We start from the raw sequence: 24,224 nt of genomic DNA on the forward strand, positions 1-24,224 counted from the left end.
TATTTTATGAAATAGAGTTTTTGACTTAAGATGTACTTTGTGTTATATAACTTGGACCTGTTCTCCTCTTATTTGGTTATTTCCATGAAATGTCTTCTTTCATCTTGCCTTTTTCAGTCTCCTTTAATCATTAGACCTCAAGTGACTCTTGTAGAAAAACAAGTTGGATCTTGTTTTTTAATTTTTGCAATCAGTCCCTTTATTTGGTGCATGTATTTTGAATGGAAAGTTTACTTCATAAATATTTGAATAATTTGCTGAAATAGAAAGGCTTACCTGTTTTATAAATTGTTTTACTGGATTATTTTATCTCTGTCCCTTATTTTCTTTTTCTGTCTTCCTGTTTGTCTTTTAGATTTTTGTGTTGATAGGACTTTACTTCTTATACTTTTGTGTATCTATACCTTTGTGGTATCTTGGGAATTCTGAAAAATTTCTTAAAGAGATATATATATATATATATATATATATATTTTTTTTTTTTTTTTTTTTGAGAGGGAGTCTCACTGTGTCGCCCAGGCTGAAGTGCAATGGCATGATCTCAGCTCACTGCAACTTCTGCCTCTTGGGTTCAAGCGATTCTCCTGCCTCAGCCTCCTGAGTAGCTGGGACTACAGGCACACGCCACCATGCCCAGCTAATTTTTGTATTTTTAGTAGAGACGGGGTTTCACCATGTTGGCCAGGATGATCTCGATCTCCTGACCTCGTGATCCACCTGCCTCAGCCGCTCAAAGTGCTGGGATCACAGGCATGAGCCACTGGGCCTGGCCAAAATAATATATTTTAAACTCTTAAAAATGTAACTTGAATTGCATTTGAAAATTCTTCCTCTTTACATCTGCCCTGAATGTTGTTATTGATGTCACTAATCATATTTTTTTGCTGTATATTTATTACCAGATTATGATGAATAGTTTATAATCATTTTTATGCTTTTATCCTTTAAATTTTAGAGAAAAACTTTTTTGCACTATTATAATGATACAGAACTTTATATTTGTGTTTGTGCATATGTTTTTCAGAAAGTTATGTATTTTCATATCATCATATTTTTTTTCTTGCATCCTGTTATTTTCAATGGAAGATAGTTCAGCATTTTTTTTTATAAGGCAGGTGTTGTGCTAATATACTTTTCAGCATTTGGTTATCTTGAAAGGCCTTTACTTTTTCTTCATTTTTAGGACTGTTTTACTGGTTATATTATTCCTACTTAGAAGCTATTTTTCCTTCAGCACGTTAACTATATCGCAACTTTCTCTTGTCTGAAAAAATGTTGACAGATTCACTTGTTATCTTATAAGAGCATACTTACAAATCACACATCACTTTTATCTTGCCGCTTCTAAGATTCCATTTTTGCCTTTGACTTTTAAAACTTTGCTTATTATGTGCTTTGTTATAAATCTCCTTGTATATCCTAGTTGAAGTTTGTTGAGCTCCTTCTTTTTTTTTTGAAATGAAAGTCTTGCTCTGTTGCCCAGGCTGGAATGCAGTGGCACAATCTTGGCTCACTGCAAGCTCCGCCTCCCAGGTTCACACCATTCTCCTGCCTCAGCCTCCCGCATAGCTGGGACTACAGGTGCCCACCACCACGCCCAGCTAATTTTTTTTGTATTTTTAGTAGAGACAGGGTTTCACCGTGTTAGCCAGGATGGTCTCACTCTCCTGACCTCCTGATCCACCAGCCTCGGCCTCTCAAAGTGCTGGGATTACAGGCATGAGCCACCATGCCTGGCCACATCTTTTTTTAACTTTTGAAAATTTCTCAGGCATTATTTTTGTATTTTTCACCTCCATGTTTTTTATATTTTTAATGTTTTCATTTATATATATATATATATTTTAATTATATTTAGTTTTGTTACCATTTAGCTCATTGAGTTTTATTCAGGTCAAATTTTAAAACTTTGTACATCTTCATTTTTAATTTTTGTTCTGGAATTTTTTTTTTTTTTGAGATGGAGTCTCATTCTGTCACCCAGGCTGGAGTGCAATGGTGCAATCTTGGCTCACTGCAACCTCCACCTCCCGGGTTCAAGCAATTCTCCTGCCTCAGCCTTCCGAGTAGCTGGGACTACAGGCATGGGCCACCATGCCCAGCACATTTTTGTAGTTTTAGTAGAGACAGAGTTTCACCATTTGGGCCAGGATGTTTTCAATCTCTTGACCTCGTGATCTGCCCTCCTCGGCCTCCCAAAGTGCTGGGATTACAGGCATGAGCCACCATGCCTCACCTTTTGTGATAATTTGTGTGTGTGTGTGTGTGTCAGAGTCTCGCTGTGTCTCCCAGGCTGGAGTGCAGTGGCATGATCTCGGCTCACTGCAAGCTTTGCCTCCTGTGTTTACGCCATTCTCCTGCCTCAGCCTCCCGCATAGCTAGGACTACAGGCACCCATCACCACGTCTGGCTAGTTTTTTTGTATTTTTAGTAGGGACGGTGATTCACCATGTTAGCCAAGATGGTCTCTATCTCCTGACCTCGTGATCCACCCGCCTCAGCCTCCCAAAGTGCTGGGATTACAGGTGTGAGCCACCATGCCCGTTCCCTTTTCTGAAAATTTTTAAATTGTTGGACTGTGTTGTTCTAATATTTTGTATACATTGTCATGTTTGGTTGTTATTTGTACATTAACAAAAAGCTATTTGTCACAATCTTTACAATGTAGCTTTTTCCTGACATAGTCTGAAACCAATTGTCCTTGATAGAGATTATGGTAACCTCTCATACATGTTCTAAGGATGTGTCCTCTCTGGAATTTTGTGTTTATTTTTCAGTTAAAAGGGTTTGTTCATGTTTCTTCTTAACAGTCTCTAATCACTTGTTCTACGTGTTGCCTGTATTTAGCACTGCAGTCTGCTCCTGAAACATTTACATTTGCTTTCAGCAGACCCAATCCCTCCCAAAGTGTATCACCATTTCTATCAGCACTCTGTGGTATTGGAGACAGAAACCAGGTTTTGTAAAGACACTCAAAAGCCAGAAGTAAGGATATGTGTATCAGTATTTTTCTTCTCTTTAAAGGAAGAAGCCAGGAGTTGATACTTCACTCCTAATGGCACAGTGCTATATTGGGGAGGAGGAAGAGCTGTTGGTGGGTAAATGTAACAAACATTCCTTCCTGTTCTATGTGGCTCTTGGCATTTTGCTTACCTGAGGCATTGCATACAATTAACTCATTTATAGATTTCACAGAAAGGTGTCTTTGTTAGTATATGTTTGCTACATGTATATGTCTGTGAAGAAGTTATGGCCTGTGGGATTTTGTTATGCCATCTTACTAATGTATTTTGAATAATTTCATAAGATTTGTAAAGTATATTTATATGAATCTACTAAGTGGGATAATTTGTAATTTTTATTTCTTTCAGCTATGTGTTCTCATTTCACCCAAGACCATTGGCCAGTGCAGGGCATAGAAGATTCATTCCACAAACTTATACTGAGAAGATATGAGAAATGTGGACATGATAATTTACAATTAAGAAAAGGCTGTAAAAGTTTGAATGAGTGTAAGTTGCAGAAAGGAGGTTATAATGAATTTAATGAATGCTTGTCAACTACCCAGAGCAAAATACTTCAGTGTAAAGCAAGTGTCAAAGTTGTTAGTAAATTTTCAAATTCAAACAAACGTAAGACAAGACATACTGGAGAGAAACACTTTAAAGAATGTGGCAAATCATTTCAGAAGTTTTCACACCTAACTCAACATAAGGTAATTCATGCTGGAGAGAAACCCTACACTTGTGAAGAATGTGGCAAAGCCTTTAAATGGTCTTTAATATTTAATGAACATAAGAGAATTCATACTGGAGAGAAACCTTTTACTTGTGAAGAATGTGGCAGCATCTTTACCACATCCTCACACTTTGCTAAGCATAAAATAATTCATACTGGAGAAAAACCCTATAAATGTGAAGAATGTGGCAAAGCCTTTAATAGGTTCACAACCCTTACTAAACATAAGAGAATTCATGCTGGAGAGAAACCCATCACATGTGAAGAATGTAGGAAAATCTTTACCTCATCCTCAAACTTTGCCAAACATAAGCGAATTCATACTGGAGAGAAACCCTACAAATGTGAAGAATGTGGCAAAGCCTTTAATAGGTCCACAACCCTTACTAAACATAAGAGAATTCATACTGGAGAGAAACCCTACACATGTGAAGAATGTGGCAAAGCTTTTAGACAGTCCTCAAAACTGAATGAACATAAGAAAGTTCATACTGGAGAGCGGCCCTACAAATGTGATGAATGTGGCAAAGCCTTTGGACGGTCCAGGGTCCTGAATGAACATAAAAAAATTCATACTGGAGAGAAACCCTACAAATGTGAAGAATGTGGCAAAGCCTTTAGACGGTCCACAGATCGGAGTCAACATAAGAAAATTCATAGTGCAGATAAACCCTACAAATGTAAAGAATGTGACAAAGCCTTTAAACAATTTTCGCTCCTGAGTCAACATAAGAAAATTCATACTGTAGATAAACCCTACAAATGTAAAGATTGTGACAAAGCCTTTAAACGGTTCTCACACCTGAATAAACATAAGAAAATTCATACTTGAGAGAAATCCTACAAATGTAAAGAATGTGGCAAACCTTTGGATGATCCACAAACCTTAATGAACATGAGAAAATTTATACTGTAGAGAAACCCTGGAAATGTGAAGAACGTGGCAAAGTTCTTTACCTCATTCTCAAACCTTGATAAACATAAGAGAATTCATACCGGAGAGAAACTGTACAAATGTGAAGAATATGGCAAAGCCTGTGAATGGTCCACAAACCTGAATGAGCAGAAGAAAATTATTACTGGAGATAAACCCTGCAAATGTAAAGAGTGTAACAAAACCTTTAAACAGCCCTCACCGGTGAATAAACATAAGAAAAATCATGCTGGAGGGAAGCCCTACACATGTGGCAGAATGTGGCAAAGCATTTAATTGGTCCTCAATGCTTAATAAATATAATTCATGCTGGAGAGAAACTTCACATGTGAACCGTGTGGCAAAGCCTTTAAATGGTCCTCAACCCTTAATGAACGTAAGTGAATTCATGCTGGAGCAAAATGCTTCACATGCGAAGAATGTGGCACAGTCTTTACCACATCCTCAAACTTTGTTAAACATAAGAGAATTTATACCAGAGAGAAACCCTACACATGTAAAGAATGTGGCAAAGCCTTCAATAGGTTCTCAACCCTTACTGTGCACAAGATAATTCATTCTGGGGAAAAAAATGCTACAAATGTGAAAAACGTGGCAGAGCCTTCAGACCATCCACAAACCTTTATGAAAATTCATATTTGAGAGTAGAAGATTCATTCCACAAACTTACATTGAGAAGATATGAAAGATGAATATAAGAATTCATCCTAGATATAAAACCATAGAAATGTAAAAGATGTGACAAAACCTTTAAGCCATACTCCAGGCTTCTTAAACATAATGAGAACTCATACTGGAGGAAAGTCTTACAAATGTGAAGAATGTGGCAGTCTTTAAATCTTCCTCAGTCTTTTCTAATCATAAGATAATTCACACTGAAGAGAAACTGCAAACGTGGAAAGTGTGACAAAGCTTGCAACCACACTCAATCTATTCTAAATATAAGAGAAATGATATTGGTGAGAAGCCACAAAAATATGAAAAATGTGGCAAAGCCTTCAAATGCTTGTCACATCTTACTGTATATATATAATTCCTACTGAAGAAATCCCCTGGAAATGCAAAAAATGTGGCAGGATTTTTACCAATGCTCATCTTTTTGCACATGATATCCTTTATATTCGAGAAAAGTTATAGAAATATAAAAAATATAGAAAAGTCATATCTCCTCACATTTTACTAACTAGCAATGTTCATACTTAATAAAAACATTATAAATGTAATTTCTGTTGAAAGACTTCAGAAAATATAGGCCTTTAAAGTGAAGAAGAGTATTCTTAAGACAAACAATACAAATATAAAGAGGGTTGTAGTACCTGTACTTCTCTCATGGATTTTGTTGTACACATTTTATAATAGGGGAAAACACTGAAGGAGACTTTCTTCAACATCAGAAAATTTATATTGGAGAGAAATCCTACAAATGTAATAAATGTGGAAAAACATTTGTTCAAAAACTGCAGCTTAAACAGTTTACACTAGAAAATATTTTGTAGATGCAGTAAATGTGAAGAAATATTTAGTCTAAAAAGAAGAGTATGTAAACATCAGAGGATTTACAGTAGAAAGAACTAAGGAACTAACACTTTAGACACTGCAGTAAATCAGAGTATTAAGTATTAAAAAAATCCAAAGTTGAACCTATTAGAGAATTTCTTTGTATATAAGTTGAAAAGAAGATTTTTGAAGAGATACTACATTTAAAGTATATTTTTTCACTTGAAAAAAGTATAGATTTTTTGAAAAGCATATAATAGTTAATTCAACTCAAATTATTTCATACTGTTTCAACATTCCTGTTTATGTGAAAGCATGTGATGAATTGTTGCTGCATCAGAGATAAGAGAGATTCTTTTTCATTAGGTGGGCATTATTTGTGAATTTTTACAAGAAAGAGTGAGGACAGAAATGAAAGATCCATGATGAAAATCTAGCAGAGAGGCTTTTTTGTAGTTGACAATATTGAGTGATGCATGAGGTAGGTGTTCAGAGTAATATTCTTCTGCATTATAGTGAGAGAAAATCTGTTTTAGTAGTAAATTGTTTTACCAATTATACATTTATGTAATAAGATACAGTAAATTTTAAAATTATTTTAAGATTATGTGGGAACATAATTTTTTAACTAAACAAAATTTTTAACGTGTTGAAATAATTGTTGCTTGAATGAAGTGTCATTATGCCACCAACTTAAACCTATCCCACCTTACTCAATGGTGTAGGTAAAAGATGGTAACAATGGTAACATAGTTGAATGACATTTTTAGTATTCTCTTTTTCCAGTGGCTTTAAATAGCAAATACATTGAAGAATATCATTCCCATATGTTGTATTTTCACTCTTGTTATTTTCCGAAATTTTTGTGGGTACATAGTATGCATATTTATCTATGGCATATATGGGTTATTTTCTTATACAGGCATACAACATGTAATATACCAGAGTAAATGAGTTATTCATCACCTCAAGCATTCATCCTTTGTATTACACACAATCCAATTATACACTTTAATTATTTCTAAATGTACAATTATGATTGTAGTATTATATCAGTATAATTATAATTCATACATTTATGCATCCTGAATACTTCTAAAAAATGTTTTACATTTCTCTTTGAACATGTGGCATCTTTTCCTGCAAACTTATACAAACTTTAGTTCCATTTACATGAAGTTAAGTATGTAAATGTGTTGCTGTAAAGATAAACCTTAGGTGTAAGAAAATTATAGAGCAAGCAATTGTGTTTATGTGAGTTTGTACCTATTTTCCAAAGAAAATAGCAATATTAGAACAAAGAAGATTATGTTAATACCATGGATAATTTACTGGAAATCTAGAAGCCTGAAACATTCTATATTTTCTTCTTTTTATTTAATGACTCTAGAATCTAATGGATTGTCGTTGAGAATCTCCCCATACAAACTCCTTGTTTTTATTTGTCTGGTGCTCATGCTAGAGCTATAATTTCTTTGATTCTCTTTTTTGTTTTCACTTCATGAAGTGTTTATTATGTGAGCTGGTCAGAAATTATAAGAATGATTTTTATAAAATGTAGTGAATGTAAAATTTTTAGATGTAATTTCATAATATATGTATTAAGTTATTTTAGTTAGAACATTTCATTTTGTTGTTTTAATTTAAGAACCCTATATAAGCTGTTTTCTTTAGTTATTGTTCCTTTCAGTTTTTGTAATTGACATAAATGAGTTTATTTTGCCAATTTGTTCAGGTAAGTACTTGGAAAACTTTGTCAGTCATGGGGATGTTTTGATCTATTATTGTAGTGAACAAACAAAGTTCTGGGTGTGTAATAGATGCTTCATAATTAGCCATAAATATTCCTGGAGTTAGTTTGTAGCTCCAAGTAAGAGATTGAAAATAATCTGTGGCGAACAAATGGCATTAATTGTGCATGTGGAGAGGACGTCTGTTCTCAGGCTGCAGAACCAACTCATTATGAATGTAAAGAGGATTTCTTTTCTTATTTTCTAATTATCTTCAGTTTTGTGATATCTTTATGATTTATCCCCAGCTATGTATGCCTCAGAGCCTTTCTTCATTTTTGCGTTATGGCTAGTTTGTCACTGTTCTCTTCATTCCACGTAATTTCACGTGGACTTTAGGTTAACTGGGGTGTTTGAGGTTATTTATAGGTTATCAGTGCAACATTTAGATCACTTGAGATAAGAGTAATTCACTATCAACAGGTAAGAGGATTAAGTCAGTTGGCATTGTTTTTCTGTGTTTGTAAAAGAAAAATTGTATGAGATTCTATCATAAAGTGTGTAAAATGTAACAAAAGTTAGAATAAGTAAAACATTAATATAAGTGGGTTGTATATTGTACCACCATATGAAGAAACATCAGAATTTTGAAATTTCTTAAGAGGAAATATATCTTAGAAATAAAATTTTTAGGCCAGGTGGCGGTGGTTCACACCTGTAATCCCAGCACTTTGGGAGGCCGAGATGGGTGGGTCATGAAGTCAAGAGAGCAAGATCATCCTGGCAAACATGGTGAAACCCCATCTCTACTAAAAATACAAAAATTAGCAGGGCGTGGTGGCATGTGCCTGTAGTCCCAGCTACTCGGGAAGCTGAGGCAGGAGAATCGCTTGAACCCAGGATGCAGAGGTTGCAGTGAGCTGATGTTGTGCCACTGCAGTGCAGCCTGCCAACAGAGTAAGACCCGTCTCAACAACAACAACAAAAAAGAAGAAAATTTTTAGGAGACAATGGTAAGTGAGGAATTTTACATTTAATTTTCTGTGACATAGCAAAACATTTTTCCATACAAAATCTTCTATTTATTTATTTATTTTAGATGGAGCCCCACTCTGTCACCAGGCTGGAGTGCAGTGGTGCAATCTCAGCTCACTGCAACCTCCGCCTCCCAGGTTCAAGTGATTCTCCTGCCTCAGCCTCCTGAGTTAACTGGGACTACAATCGCCTGCCACCACGCCCAGTTAATTTTTATATTTTTAGTAGAGATGGGGTTTCACCATGTTGGCCAGGATGGTCTCGATCTTTTGACCTCATGATCTGCCTGCCTTGGCCTCCTGAAGTACTGGGATTACAGGCATGAGCCACCGTGCCTGGCCAGAATATTATATCTTTGAGTGTGAATGTTAAATGGTGGAAAAACAATAGAATGATCTCTGTAGATTCAAAATCTGCACTGATCTTTTTTGTCCAGATTCATATTACAATCTTGAGGAATTTCTCATAATTCTTTGTTTTAGTGGATGCATTTCATGGGCTACAGTTTTCATTTTTACTCACCTAACTTTATCCAAGTCCTTGGTCACCTTCTCTGGAAAAAAATTTGAAGATTATGGCAGCTGTTGAATCCAAACAGTTTCTCAGTGATTTTTTTTTTTTTTTTTTTTTTTTTTTGAGATGGAGTCTTGCTCTGTCACCCAGGCTGGAGTGCAGTGGCACAATCTCAGCTCATTGCAACCTCCACCTCTCGGGTTCAAGCAATTCTCCTGCCTCAGCCTCCCAAGTAGCTGGGATTACAGGTGCCCACCACCACACCCAGCTAATTTTTGTATTTTTAATAGAGATGAGGTTTCACTCTGTTGGCCAGGCTGGTCTCGAGCTCCTGTCCTCGTGATCCACGCACGTCAGCCTCCCAAAGTGCTGGGATTACCGGTGTGAGCCACTGTGCCCAGCCTCTCAGTGATTTTTGATGCAAATTCATTTACTGTGTTCACGAAGTGGCCAATTTTGGGACCTTTAGCATCACTTGCCCTTTTAGTGTCTTACATATGTATGATTACCATCAGCACTAGAAATTCCAGGTACTTCAAGCTTAAAAGTAAGAGCTCTAGAGTGTATTGTCTTGTATTATATATTGTTCTGGGTCTAAGCCATGCTAGTAAATATTAGAGTTCCTATGATTATTTTCTTCTTTATTTTATTTTTGAGACGGAGTCTCGCTCTGTCGCCAGGCTGGAGTACAGTGGTGCGATCTCAGCTCACTGCAACCTCCGCCTCTCAGGTTCAGGCGATTCTCCTGCCTCAGCCTCCTTATTAGCTGGCATTACAGGTGTGCACCACCATGCCTGGCTAATTTTTATATTGTTAGTAGAGATGCGGTTTGACTATGTTGGCCAGGCTGGTCTCAAACTCCTGACCCTGTGATCCTGCCACCTTGGCCTCCCAAAGTTCTGGAATTACAGGCGTGAGCCACTGCGCCCAGCCTCTATGGTTATTATATTACAAAAACAGCACAAAAACTATATATTTTTTATAATACTCAAGTTGTTTGACAAAGATACTCATCATTTGCAACATTATTCTGTAATTTTTAAAATATATTTGTTAATTGACAGATAAAATATCCTGTAGAATATGGTGTTTTGTAGTATATATACATTGTCAAAAGCTTAATTCTAGCTGCTTAACAAATACTTCACCACACATAATTACTTTTGGGATAAGAGCTCATAACATTGACTGTGTTAGCATTTTCCAAAAATACATTATTGTTAACTGTAGTCACCATGCTGTACAATAGATTTCTTGAATTTATTCCTCCTAGGCAACTATGTGTTGTTTTACAGACATGTCTCCAGATGCCCCTTTCTTGTAAATACCCAAGCATCTGGTAACCAGCATTCTACTCTCTGGCTTATTTCACTTAGCATAGTGTCTTCCACATTTATCCACATTGTTTCAAATGAAAAGATTTCCTCCCTTTTAACGTTGAATTGTATTTCCTTGTGTATACCACGTTTTTGGAAAAATACATTCATTTCTTGGTTGAAAAACTCACGTGATGAGAAGATATTTCTGTATTAAAGCATGTATTGGAATTCCGTATATACATGTTTTAGTAATAGTTGATTTCTACCAAATGCTAACCATAATACTGTATATGTGTTAATAAATTTTATTTTCGGCCAGGCGTGGTGGCTCACACCTGTAATCCCAGCACTTTGGGCGCCCAAGGCAGGTGGATCATGAGGTCAGGAGTTTGAGACCAGTCTGGCCAACATGGTGAAACCCCGTCTCTACTACAAATATAAAAATTAGCTGGGTGTGGTGTCAGGCGCCTGTAATCCCAGCTACTCAAGAGGTTGAGGCAGGAGAATCAGTTGAACCTGGGAGGTGGAGATTGCAGTGAGCCAAGATCATGCCATTGCACTCCAGCCTGGGTGACAAGAGCAAAACTCCATCCCCCCTGCCCAAAAAAAAAAATTAATTTTCACAGAAAATTAATAGCATAGGTATTATTATCCTCATTTTACAGAGAAAGAAACAGCCATAGAGAAAAATGACTTGCTCACAACACAGGCAACTTTGACTCTAGAGATAACACTTATTACAGTAAAATCCCTCTTCAGACACAAAATACATGATTATCTTAAACACATTCTTAATAAAAATTTAACAAAAATTGTTAAATGTTGTCATATATGTGTGTGCAAAACGTATAAAATATACAGAAAAGAGAAATACTTCCTGTATTTAAACCATATAAACTCTAGAATTGCCCTTCGATACTGACGTACTTGGGAACAGCTTTCCTTTCAACTGTCCTTCACCACCCCTTTAGCAATTCAGAATATTTATAGCATAATTTTTACCTATACCTGTAGTCAGTAAATGCTGTAATGTAATTAAATATTATTTACTACAAACTCACATAGTACATTATGACTTTATTACTGTTATAATACAAATTTATTTCTTGAGTTAAATATTTGACTCTATTAGTTTAGTTTCCTTTGTGCCTGTTTCTCAGTTTTGCCTAAATGCTACCAATTATCTTACACTGGCTCCCCAAATAGGTTTTTATTTGTTTATAAAACTTTAAATTTATCTCTAGGAACCTCAGCCGAGCAGTCAGAACTCACAGCTCTGACCAAACCCCTAGAACTAAGAAAGAACCAAAAAGTTACTATTTAATACAGACTTCAAATGTGCTTTTTTTTTTTTTTTTTTTTTTTTTTGAGACGTTGTCTTGCTCTGTCGCCCAGGCTGGAGTGCAGTGGTGCAATCTCGGCTCACTGCAACCTCCGCCTCCTGGGTTCACACAATTTGCCTGCCTCAGCCCCCTGAGTAGCTGGGACTAACAGGTGCGCCCCACCACGCCTGAAAAATTTTTGTATTTTTAGTAGAGACGGGGTTTCACCATGTTGGCCAGGCTGGTCTCAAACTCCTGACCTTAAGTGATCCACCCAGTCAGCCTCCCAAAGTGCTGGGATTACAGGCGTGAGCCACCATGCCCTCAAATATGCTTTCTTAGTACTCCACATTTATGCAGCCATCTGGGAAGAAAGGAGACTTTTTACAACAGAGAATACCCCTATTAAATATGGGTCACAGATTTTTACCCTAGTCCAGCCTATCCACCTACCACAGAAAGTAGCTGTAGTTCATTGCTGGGGCCACCAGAAGGGTCAAGATGAAATTGCTCAGAGAAACAGGAGGGCTGACCAAGCAGCTAGGGCCACCACCATCTCTGGGAACTTTTTTTTTTTTTTTTTTTGAGACGGAGTCTCACTCTCGCCCAGGCTGGAGTGCAGTGGCTCGATCTCGGCTCACTGCAAGCTCCACCTCCCAGGTTCACGCCATTCTCCTGCCTCAGCCTCCCAAGTAGCTGGGACTACAGGCACCTGCTACCATGCCCGGCTAATTTTTTTGTATTTTTAGTAGAGACGGGGTTTCACCATGTTAGCCAACAAGGTCTTGATTTCCTGACCTCGTGATCCGCCTGCCTCAGCCTACCAAAGTGCTGGGATTACAGGCATGAGCCACCGCGCCCGGCCTTAGTTGTGTGTGATTTCTATGTGTGCTCTAGGCACTTGCCCTATAGCTGCTCCTAAATGTGGGGTCTTAGAAAACATCTTGTCCCTTCGAAGCATACTCTGCTGGTTGGCTAAATTGCACTGGGAAAAAATAGCAGCAGCCCTATTGCTATGTCACTTGCCTGCAGAGCAAAAGTTGATTCAGGAACAGTAATTTGACTTTGTCTATATTAAAAATCATAAATAGTCAACAAATGCAAAAAATGCAAAGAATTTGTAGGTATGATTAGTGCATTATAGGTGTTTTCAAATTTCTCCTATGATAAATTAAAAATGTAATGTTGGGCATTAATTTCCTAAACCCAGTGCTCAGCAATTTTCTCAAATTGTTTACAGTTTTTCCAAGAGACTTCAGAACCATTCCCTGGAGTGAATTATTTCCAATGGTGAAGAGTAATGGATGGATGGCATGAGATTCTCAAAAAAATCTTGCTCCTATTTCAGAAGTGTCACTCCAGCCCCTTGAAGGTCCAGGAAACCTGGCTGAGTAGTGTGGTCTATGGAGGTGCATGGGCTTCAGAATCAGGCCAACGTTGATCCTGAGTCCCAGCCAGCTGCTTAGTAGCTGTGGGATAGTTACACAAGACACATCTACAAGAAAAGTCATGATAAAATTGATTGCAAAAACAGCAATTTGAAAAATTTCTTATTGTATTCATGTCCTTGGAAATGGCTTTTATAGTCGTTCCTATCAAGAGACAGATTCTGTTTCCCAAACCTTGAACTTCTCTTGACTTATCTGCACTGGCACAGGGTGCCAGTTTGGGGCCCAGGTTTAAAGGTCCTAAATGCTTCTGTTATCTTTTTCAGAATTCTTCCATCTCTATGACAACAAGCCCATTTTAGCTTTCTGGAGAATAGCATCTGAGAAAAGCCAAAGTGCCTCAGTTTACAGACAGCTCACTCACAGAAGCAGAGCCACCTAATTCACCAGCATCTAACCACTCACACCTGAAGGAGCCAAACTGAGCCCAGAAGAATGGCCCGGCTGAGCCCAGCCTAAATTTCTAACCAGCTCAATCCTGAGCTAGTATGTTTCGGGATTGTTATGCAGTTATAAGTTAGTAATATATACACCCATTAAAGACAGGATCTCAGGACAGATTGATCACAAATAACCTGCAAATGCTTGCCACCCTGTAAGTATTGATTTTCTTTTTTCCTTTATTTAAAGTTAGATTTGTTGTAAGATGATATTGAGTTACACAGAAGTTAGGCAGGAGAATAGGGTTTGGAGGCAGGGAACTTAAGGCCAATTCGTGCTGACTTCCTACAAGAAAAAACACCAAGGTCTGGGAGCAGGGAACCTAAAGCCAGTTAACGTGAACTTCCTACATCTAAACCAAAAGGAAAGACCTCATCTACACCCGAGTAGCAAAGGATCGAAGGCGACTGTCGCTACAACCCTCCCCCTTGTACCAGTTCTCTGATAGAAAAGGACAGTGCCTTGGAGTGGCCGTGGGCCAAGCACAGGCCATGCCTTCATCTGCATAGGGTACCAATTCGCCTCAACCTTTGATTAGCCAAGGACCAAATCCTTCATTCAGATAAGGGGTAGCTGATAGGAACCTCAAAAGGAGTACTTAAAACCCAGAAAACATTGTAACCGGGTCCTTGGGCGGCTTGCTGGGGCTCACACCCACCCTGTAGAGTGCTTTCTCACTTTAATAAAATCTTGCTTTTGCTATTCCCTTCCTGTTTTTCATTCCTTTGTGTGCTTTGTTCAATTTTTTTGTTCGAAATGTCAAGGACCTGGACAGTTCACACTCACGGCCTTCCTTCTGGTAACAGAAGTGCAGGTATATGTGGATGCATGTGATTGGTACTTAAACTCACACAGTGCCCCATACCACAGGAGAAAAACACACAGTTCCAGCCTGGCAATTAGGTCCAAAGATAAATAGCAAAACAAGAAGTTTGCCTTTAATCTATTCCCTCCACATCTAAACTCTGGAGGGCAAGGCTGTGAGGAGATCTGAAGACATGGTGCTCTCTCTTCCTGTGGACCCATCATTCCTTGTTTACCATCTGATATTTGAAAAGAAGAGGAACCCCTGAGAAAGGAGGCAGAGGCTGGTTAGGAAGATAGGGAGGGAAGGTCTTGGGAGATGAAAAACACCCACGGGACCACACCTGCACCACCCATGTAGCTAGCAGGAAGAAATGTGGTTAAGAACTTCCTCTTATGCCAGGGTGTTGATCAGAAGAGACTGTCCCACTTAGGCCCAGGTGTAATGAATCAACCTAAATGTCATTAACTTGACCCAGCTCCTTATAATGTTACTAACATGACATAAATATTTTGGTTTTAGCTTCACTCTTTCCACCTGCTGTCGGTTTTGCTTGGGCACTCATGGGTAATAACCAAGATGGAGTCACTGTGGTCAACTCCAGGCATGCACAGATACAACACCCTTAGCGGGGAAATTTACCCCTCCCATTTGGGCAGAACCCACAGAAGACTTCCTCGTTCTTGCCACATAAAAGACCCAGAACTCAGCCCCATTTCTGGCAACCTGCTTTCATGTCCCCTTTCTGCTGAGAGCTTTCCTTTTGCTTAATAAATCCTATTCTGCTTTATTCACTCTCTGATGTCTGTGTGCCTTATTCTTCCTGGCCATGGAACGAGAATCCACACCTGGCTGAACTGAGGATACCACGACACTGGCACCAAACCGCAACTGGGAGACCGTGGTCTTCACGTGGACGCTCTCAGCTTGCAGCCCCTGCTCTCTCTAGAGGCACTGTCCCACCCACCCTTGAGCCTGAGGAGAACAGTTGGTAGAGAGGCTGTTCCCTCACAGCAGAAAAGAAGTGTTCAGGCCCTCACTTCCCTGAGGGAAGAGAGCCCTCATGGCTGCACTCAGTGTGGCTGCCACCTGCCATATGTAGCTACTGGGTACCTGGAATATGGCTGGTTTGAGGTAAAATGTGCTGGAAACATAAAATACACAGTGAGTTTAGAAGAATGAGGTCAGAAATATACCTTATTTCTAATTATATATTGATCACATATTAAAACAATAATATTTGGGGTTTAAATTTTTTATTTTATTTATTTATTTATTTTGAGATGGACTCTTGCTCTGTCACCAGGCTGGAGTGCGGTGGCACGATCTTGTATCATTGCAACCTCCGCCTCCCGGGTTCAAGCAATTTTCCTGCCTCAGCCTTCCCAGTAGATGGGACTACAGGCACACGCCACCATGCCTAGCTAATTTTTTGTATTTTAGTAGAGACGGAGTTTCACCAGTTTGGCCATGATGGTCTCGATCACCTGACCACGTGATCCACATCAGCTTCCTAAAGTGCTGGGATTACAGCCGTGAGCCACTGGGCCCGGCCAATATTTTGGATACAATAGGTTAAAATTATCACAAACAATTTCACTTGCTTCTTTTTCTTAGTTTTGATGTGGCTAATAAAAAATTGAAAATTCACAAATAGCTAACATTTTATTTTTTAGAGGTTCGCTTTCCTCTTCAAATCTCAGGTATCCTACTCAAAAGACCACAGGCCAGAAAAGTTACGATATCTAAAATATTAAAATTATTATATTGTTTCCATTTGTGAACAAGTGTGTGTCTGTGTGCATGCGCGCGCGCGCGTGCGTGCACAAGGTTAAAAATGAACCATGTGCAGAGCCAGGCCTAGCACAGAGAGAAAGCCCTGACTCTAAGTGCCTGGAGGCACGAGTCTGTCACTCTTGCCTCAATTAGTATACTGTGTTTTCGCAATTTCTGTCACTCAAAGCCTGAGGGCGTGAAGCTTCGAGCCCTATCCAATCAGGCCGCTGGACTGAGAACTGCCCAATCAGGGATGCAGCCGGAGAGGAGAGGGCGGCATCCGGGATCTGGCGCGGCTTTTGCCTTTCGCTCCAGCCTGAGCTCGGTTAGGGCCTCGCCGTCCTGCTTCCACCCCTCAGGGAGGCCTCCGTGATTCGGCCTCAGCCTCCGTCGCTCTGTGACCTGTGGGTATTGGATGATTCCTAGCTGAGACTCTGCTACACCCCTGAAGTGGGGAAATGGTGAGTGTGTGGGGCAGGTCCTCCCGAGGCGACTGGGGAGGCCTCATCAGAACCGACGGGAAATGGCGGCGGCGGGACCGAGTCTGTGAAGAGAGTCCCCTCTGCCGCCGCTCAGCCCTCGGGCCTCAGCCCCCTCCGGTGAGGGACTCTGGTTTCTGTCGGTTCCCGCAGGGTGGCTCTGGCCCAGCCTGCAGCCCTCCTTGTGCAGCTCTGCCCCCGCAGCCGCGCACCTTCCCTGGGCTGTGGGGTGAGGAGGAGCTCATCTGGAAGACGCCGACGCGGCGTGCGCAGTGGGCGCGTGGGAGGAGCTGTGGTCTGGGGGTCCCGTCCCTACTTGACCTGTTCGGAATGATGTCAAGGCCCCATCAAAACATAGAGTTCATGTGAGCAAACGGGGACTCATTAATGGGACAGCGCCGACCATGGCTCGTGGTTTGGGGGCTGCTGGCGGGTCTTAAAGGAAAGGCTTTTGTGAGGTGTGTGAGGAAGCGAAGCAAATCACCCTCCCGCTCCCACTTTCCCACCAGTCCCCTTGCCCTGTGCGCCTCCTCCGCGTGGCTGTTCCGGAGTCGCATCTTTTAGAATATGCTAGTGTGGGCGCGCACAGCGCTTCGCTGAGTTCTGTGAGTAGTTCTGCCATATTATTGAACTTGAGGAGGGTGTGGGCGCCCCTGGTTTGTAGGCGGGAGTTCAGAAATGAAGACGGGTGTCCAGAGGCAGGGACCGGTGCCTGCAGGGGGGCAACTGCGAGAAGAGCGCTGAGCTTGTGGGGTCTGCGCTGACTCTGGGTGGCGTCTTTAGTGAGTTGCTGGACACCGCTTTGGGGTTGGAGCATTGACTGGTGTTGAGCAAACTCCTCACGTTTTCTGTCAGAAGAAAGACAGGGCTGAGCCTGGGCTGGAGGGAGTAGCATGGTGTCTGCGGGAGGCGTGACTGGGTTCTGCACATGCGCAGTCCTGCTGGGCCCTGTCCTGTTCCTCCAGGTCTCCTCCGAGGGAGAGAGGGGACTGGAAACTTAGAGGAAAGGAGTTCTGAGAAACATCCTTCCTCACACCATGCTGCCAGCCCCCACCCAATGCTAACCCACTCCTGAGCCCACCCACTGGGCATTGGCATGGCCACACTCCTTCCAGGATAGGTTTCTACCCTCAGAAATTGTGCCCAATGGCAGCTTTGCTCCTACAGTTTTCTCCCAAGAACACACAAAGTGCCCAGAAGACTCCTGGCTCATCTCAACCCCAGATGTGTAGCAGGAATCTGCTTTCTTCACCACCCAGTCTTCTAGACCACCTGATCCTAATCTCCTCTGCCCTTATGGACTCAGGAATCAGTCAGAGTGTAGCCCTGCGTCGGCCTGCACTTATAGTACAAACCAGTGCTTTAGTCAGTCCTGCCTTGCCCCCACCCAAGGCTCTTGATGGCACCTTCCTCTCTTCTGCTCTTTCCTTCCCCACAAATCCTCTTTCCTGTGTTCACAGTGTGCCCAAGTCCATCCCTCAGGTGCCTACAAGAATTCAGACGTTAGTAAGTTCAAGACCATGCCTTTAGAACAGGCTGTTGTAGGACCAAATACAAATTAGAAGCTTAATGCTTTCTCTTTAGAGTGTGGGAAGAATTTTTGCTCTTCTCCCTTTTCTTAAAGCATTTAATTTGAAAACTTTTATATTTAAATATTTTCTCTGCTTCTTTGAAAAATATATAAATCATTTTTATCAGTTAACTAGGTCATTTGTCTTTTTCGACTGAAAATTGTCTTTATCTAGGATCTGGAAACTATTGTCTTGAAATGTAAATCGCAAGAGTCTATACACCCTATGCCACAGTTTTTGTAGGAAAGTAGGGGGCTGCCTTCAGCAGGTACCTGGCTCAACATTTCAAAACTACGTCTTACCATGAAGATGTGGGAAGTTTTTTTGTTGCTGTTGAATGTTACCAATTAGAAAACCCTGCTGGGACTACAGGCGCCCAGGTGACCTCTCAAATTACTAGGTGACATAAACTGTGTATGACAAATGGTGCTGTCATGTCTTGTACTTGAGAACTAATTACGGTGATGTTCTTTCTGTATTTGCAATCTATTAGTTGATTGCCTGTGATGCATATCATAGTTTGGTATAATTAAATAACAGAACATTTTCTTGCTGTTCTGTTATTGTGGGGAGTATTTTAGGATTAGAGATGATTTTGCTTTTAGTTATAGTTACCACACTGTTCAGAATTACCAGATTTATACATAAAGTGCCCACTAGGCCTCACTTGAGAGAAAACCTTTTTTCTAAGGATTCCAGTCACAATCCACAATTTTGTGGCAAAGTGCACAAAGTGTAGCAAAGTGCTCCTCAAAGCTGCAAAAAAAAAACAGCCGGGTGCAGTGGCTCACACCTTTAATCCCAGCACTTTGGGAGGCTGAGGTGGCCAGATCACGAGGTCAGGAGATTGAGACCATCCTGGCTAACACCGTGAAACCCTGCCTCTACTAAAAATATAAAAAATTAGCTGGGCGTGGTGGCAGGCACCTGTAGTCTCAGCTACAGGGGAGGCTGAGACAGGAGAATGGCATGAACCCGGGAGGCGGAGACTGCAGTGAGCCAAGGTCGCGAGACTGCACTCCAGCCTGGGCAAGTGCTGGTGAGAGTGAGACACCATCTCAAAAAAAAAAAAAATCTCTCTATTTGGGATCTCTATTTGGGAACAGTCACTTCTAAAGCAGTTAGACTAGATTTCTACAAAAATAACTTCTCAGGACAGCAATCAGTTATTCCATTTCTTTTAGCGCTCCTGGCATCTTTAGATCTGACACTGGTTCAGACATCATGGGGTCCATAAACCCAACCAGGATCACATAAGTGCATTAATTAAACCAGAGAACTTCAATTCTCTCTCTTCTCCCCTTGCCCAAATGCCCACAAATGTGCATAGCTTACCAGCCTTCCAAGACCTAAATGTGCAGTTCCAAATTCTAAATTAATATCCTGGGATTTGAGAAGAAAACGGCACTTTTGTCTGAGAAATACAAGTTCTTTTAATTATCAGACCCAGAGATTTGTTAAAATGAGACCGCAGTCCTACTTTTCCCCACGTTGAACTATTTATTTTTTGAAATTCCTTGCTATTGCTACCAGTGGCTATAAATTAACCTAATAATACCACAATGGACACTATAATGCACACCCTATGGCTTAACATATATATAGCCAGACACTAACCAGTGTTACTTCTATAAACCAATAGGAATGTCTGAGAACTTTCTATCAGTCCCCTCTCTGCCTTCTTTTTTGCCTTTAAAAATACACTTGTAACTGCTTCTAATTGGAGTGTATGTTCAGGGCAGCTTTATACTCCGGGCTTGCAGTCTTCAAGCTTTGGCCCAAATAAACTCTCTAGTTATGTTTACCCCAGCTTTTTCCTTTTAGGTCAAAATATTCTTCAGAATGTGTTGAAGGAGCCTCCATGAGAGGATCTCTCTGGTTTTACTCTGTTTGCTGTAATCCCCAAGAATGCAGAGGCACATTGATTCTGAGAGGAGAGACCCTCTCATATTGTTTTATATTGTTTCATACTCAGTAAAAACAACAAGGAAGTAAAATCAAAGACAGGCAGCCCGGCGCCAGGCCTCAGCCTGCCTGGCCTAAACCCAGTAGTTAAAAATCAACTTATGAATTAGAAGCCGATGTTATTCATAGATTCCAAACATTGTATAGAAGAACATTGTGAAACTCCCTGCCCTGTTCTGTTTGTTCCTGATCACCGGTGCATGCAGCCCCTGTCACATACCCCTTGCTTGCTCAAATCAATCACGACCCTTTCATGTGAAATCTTTGGTGTTGTGAACCCTTAGAAGGGACAGAAATTGTGCACTCAGGAAGCTCGGATTTTGAGACAGTAGCTGGCTGATGCTCCCAGCTGAATAAAGCCCTTCCTTCTACAACTCGGTGTCCGAGAGATTTTGTCTGTGGCTCGTCCTGCTACAATTCCACCTAGAATCTGCACATAAAAGCTGGCTTCTGCCTAGGATTCACAAGATAGTGCCAGACTTTGGGTTGAAGACATACAGAAAACTCACAGAAGGCATTTTCTGCATCATGAGAGGTCAACATAGACATCTTAAACCACACTTTCAGAGTGGAGCCCTTTGAGTTTTCCAGATCTTGTCTAGTCACCTGGTACAACTATGTGAGAGGCTTCTGGTGTGAACAGAATCCTGTGGCAGAATCTGTAAGTGTAAACAAGCACCTTAGCAGTGGGAGGTCAGGTCCACAAAATATCCAGAGCCATAATCACAACCATAATCACTAGTCTGCCATCCTGTATACTGTGGTACTGGAGTACTTTTATCTTTCCTCTTGTCTCAGAGTTAGCTGATCAGGGACAGTGCATATGACATCTGGATCCAGGATCTGCAGCTCTACCAGGGCAGTTCTGTTTTCCGTTTGCACTCCACAAAGTTAGCCTGAGTCTCTCCTGCCTGGATCACTATGGGGGCTTCAGCCCAGGGTCACTGAGGACACTCTCACCAGCATCAGTGAGTTATTTGAGACATTTGAGGATGTCCTGTGCAGACTGGGGTCAGTGTGACAACAAAGTCTAATTCTGGTTCCATTTTCAGAGAAAGAGAAATGACTTATCCAGGGTTTGTTCCTCCCCTCACAGAAAGAATCTCCTTGTTCATAACAGATAAGAGTTGTTCCAGTTTTTTTGGTTCTTTGGTGAAAATGAGGAGATCTAGAGACTCAAACTGATCAATAAGTAATTGCTTCTATTTCTTATGGTAATTAGAAAAAGAAATGAACCAGTCATGGTCCCTACCATCAAGTAACTTGCAGTCTGGAGCACAAAGATGGAAACTGTACAGGAGACTTAAGCTTCATTTGGGTTACTTTTATTGTTTTGTGAGTTTTGATGCCTCCACCTGAAGGGCTATTCGTGGACTGAAGAGAATTTGTTGTTGTTATTATTATTATTTGTATTGTTTTTAGCTTGTGAATAATAAGTATTTGGCTCTTAATATAATTGGTCTAGAAAAAATAAGGATTTTGATTAAGTTCCTTCTTACTGTATGTTGTAATATAGACAGGGAAGTGGCGAAAGTAGGTTAAAATCACACAAACTCTGGGAATAAAATCTCTCTTTGTCAGGCTTAGAAAAAACAAAACTGAAAACACTTAATGGCCTAGAGAGCAGAAGCCTAGGGCCCACTGTCTGTCCCAGCTCTGCCCAGATCCACCCTCTGCTGAATCTTGTCCAGGTCTGACCCCACACTGAAATCTCTCACAGAACTGCTTAGAGGAGATAAGAGTTTGGGGTGGCTACTCCTACTGCCACTCCAGAGCTGGTGCTTCCAATTTCCTGAAACAGAAAAGCAGATAAATGGGGAAAAGCAATATACTTTTGTGCCTTAAATTCTTTTTTATAAAATTAAAACCAGTGTTTCTAGAGACATCTCATCCAGCAATCTGTTCTCCAGCCCTATAGTTTTAGTGTTTGTTTTTCTTTACAATTTTCAAAGTAAATACAAATACAAAAATAAAAAATTCCTCTGAATTGCACTTAACACTTTCTTTCTGTTTCTCTCCCATCTATCTATATTGAACTATTCTATACATTTTTTAAAAAATCAGTCATAGGAAAACAAGAAGAAATAGAAATGCCAGGCCCTGCATTTAAATCCTGGGAATTATGGGACACTTACTACCCACCTCCCAGCATGTTATGAGAATTAACGCACATAATGTGAGCTTCCCAGCAGAGGGCTCTGTGACATACTCCTGCACACATAGTACATGCTCCATAAAGATCACATTAATGCATGTGCACGTGTTTTTCAAATGCAGACTTACTCAGACATTGCCACCATCTCCAGCCTCTGTAACCTTTGAAGGGCCTGCAGAGAATGTCATGTTTCAGGATGATGATTGGTAGTCTTGTCTTCAGGTGAAAAGTATTTGTGTTGGGATAAGGGACCCTGTGTGCTGTGCCTGCTTTCTCTAGCTGAGTGTTACTATAATGGATCTAGAGGGAGGAATATCAGCATTAACAGGAGACTTGCTATAAGAAGCTGTGTAATTCATGGACCCTTTTCAAACCTCCAGAATTTTGTTACTTACAGTAAGGCTTAGAATAGCAAATAATTTATATGGACATTGAAGTCTGAAAGCCAGTGCTTAGCTAAGTGACTCTCAGCTGAGTCTTCTAATAGTATCACATGGACTGTTTGAAGAGAAACAGCCACTTTTCCCCTCCCCACAGATCCTGTCTATTGTTCTGGATGGAAACATCCCTGTTCTTTAAATTAAAACATGATTCTACAGCCAGGCCAGGGTCAAGCATGAGGGCTTCCAGATACTTAATGAGAGGTGAGTTCACCCTTTGTTCCAGGAGGTCACAGGGTCTACTCTGCTTGGTTTTCATAAGGGCAGGTCAGTGTAGCCCGTATTTCCATTGTAGCAACAGAAATTTCTGGCATGCTGTAGAAAATGAAGTAGAGATTCCTCTTCAAAGGGACTTTCCTCCCAGTCTAATTGAGAATAAATAGTAACCTCTCTTAGAAGCAAAATTTACTCAAAGACCTATGCTGGTATTTTTAAATATCTGCTAACCGTAATAAAGAAATCAATATACTTTGTATTCTTAGCTCCCACATTTTAGCCTAAGATATTTGCCCTGGGATGCCTAAGCAGGTCCAAGCAAGTATTAGGTCATAGGCTGTTCCTCTTACTTATTTGGAGGTGTTTTTGGCCTTTCTCAGCATTCCACAAGTTACTTCCTCTTTTCCTTTATTCTCCTCTGCCTTCCCCTCTTTTGGAAAGTTCTAAATTGCTAGCCAGTCGGGACAAGGACAAAATGTGAGGTCCTATTCCAGCCAATGGAAACCAGACACAGCCATAGGGTGGATGCATCAGGTTATAAATGACCCTGCCTCCTTTATTCATGTGTGCTCTCATGGCAAGACTGCTAGTGAGTGGCACCCTTTCTACAGAAAGTAAATTAGCCTTGCTAAGAAGATCCTTTGTCCCAGTGTTGATTTTTGTTGACACCGAATACCCATTCCTGACACATGCCGTCCTTTTTCCTCAGAGTTATGGAATAATTTAGAGAACATTACTGTGTTGAAAGTTATTTTATCAGATAATTATAGTCAGTCCCATAAGTCAGAACCAGCTCACATAACTCATTTCTCCTGTAGTCAATTTAAGAACTCTGTCCTT

The 24,224-nt window shown here is 40.5% G+C and overlaps 1 protein-coding gene across 6 annotated transcripts in view; it reads left to right on the plus strand.

Moving 5' to 3' along the window:
• The window catches only part of ZNF141 (zinc finger protein 141), a 47,055-nt gene extending 31,479 nt beyond the window's left edge, over positions 1-15,576 (plus strand). For 5 of the 6 annotated variants that reach the window (NM_003441.4, NM_001348277.2, XM_047416147.1 and 2 more), the window contains one exon: positions 3,372-15,576. In NM_003441.4, coding sequence (NP_003432.1) covers positions 3,372-4,570 — 1,199 coding nt within the window. In that variant the 3' untranslated portion in view covers positions 4,571-15,576. The remainder of the gene's footprint in view (positions 1-3,371) is intronic. The other variant, NM_001348278.2, reaches the window with a different exon arrangement.

Source organism: Homo sapiens, chromosome 4, assembly GCF_000001405.40.
Source record: "Homo sapiens chromosome 4, GRCh38.p14 Primary Assembly".
NCBI lineage: Eukaryota > Metazoa > Chordata > Mammalia > Primates > Hominidae > Homo > Homo sapiens.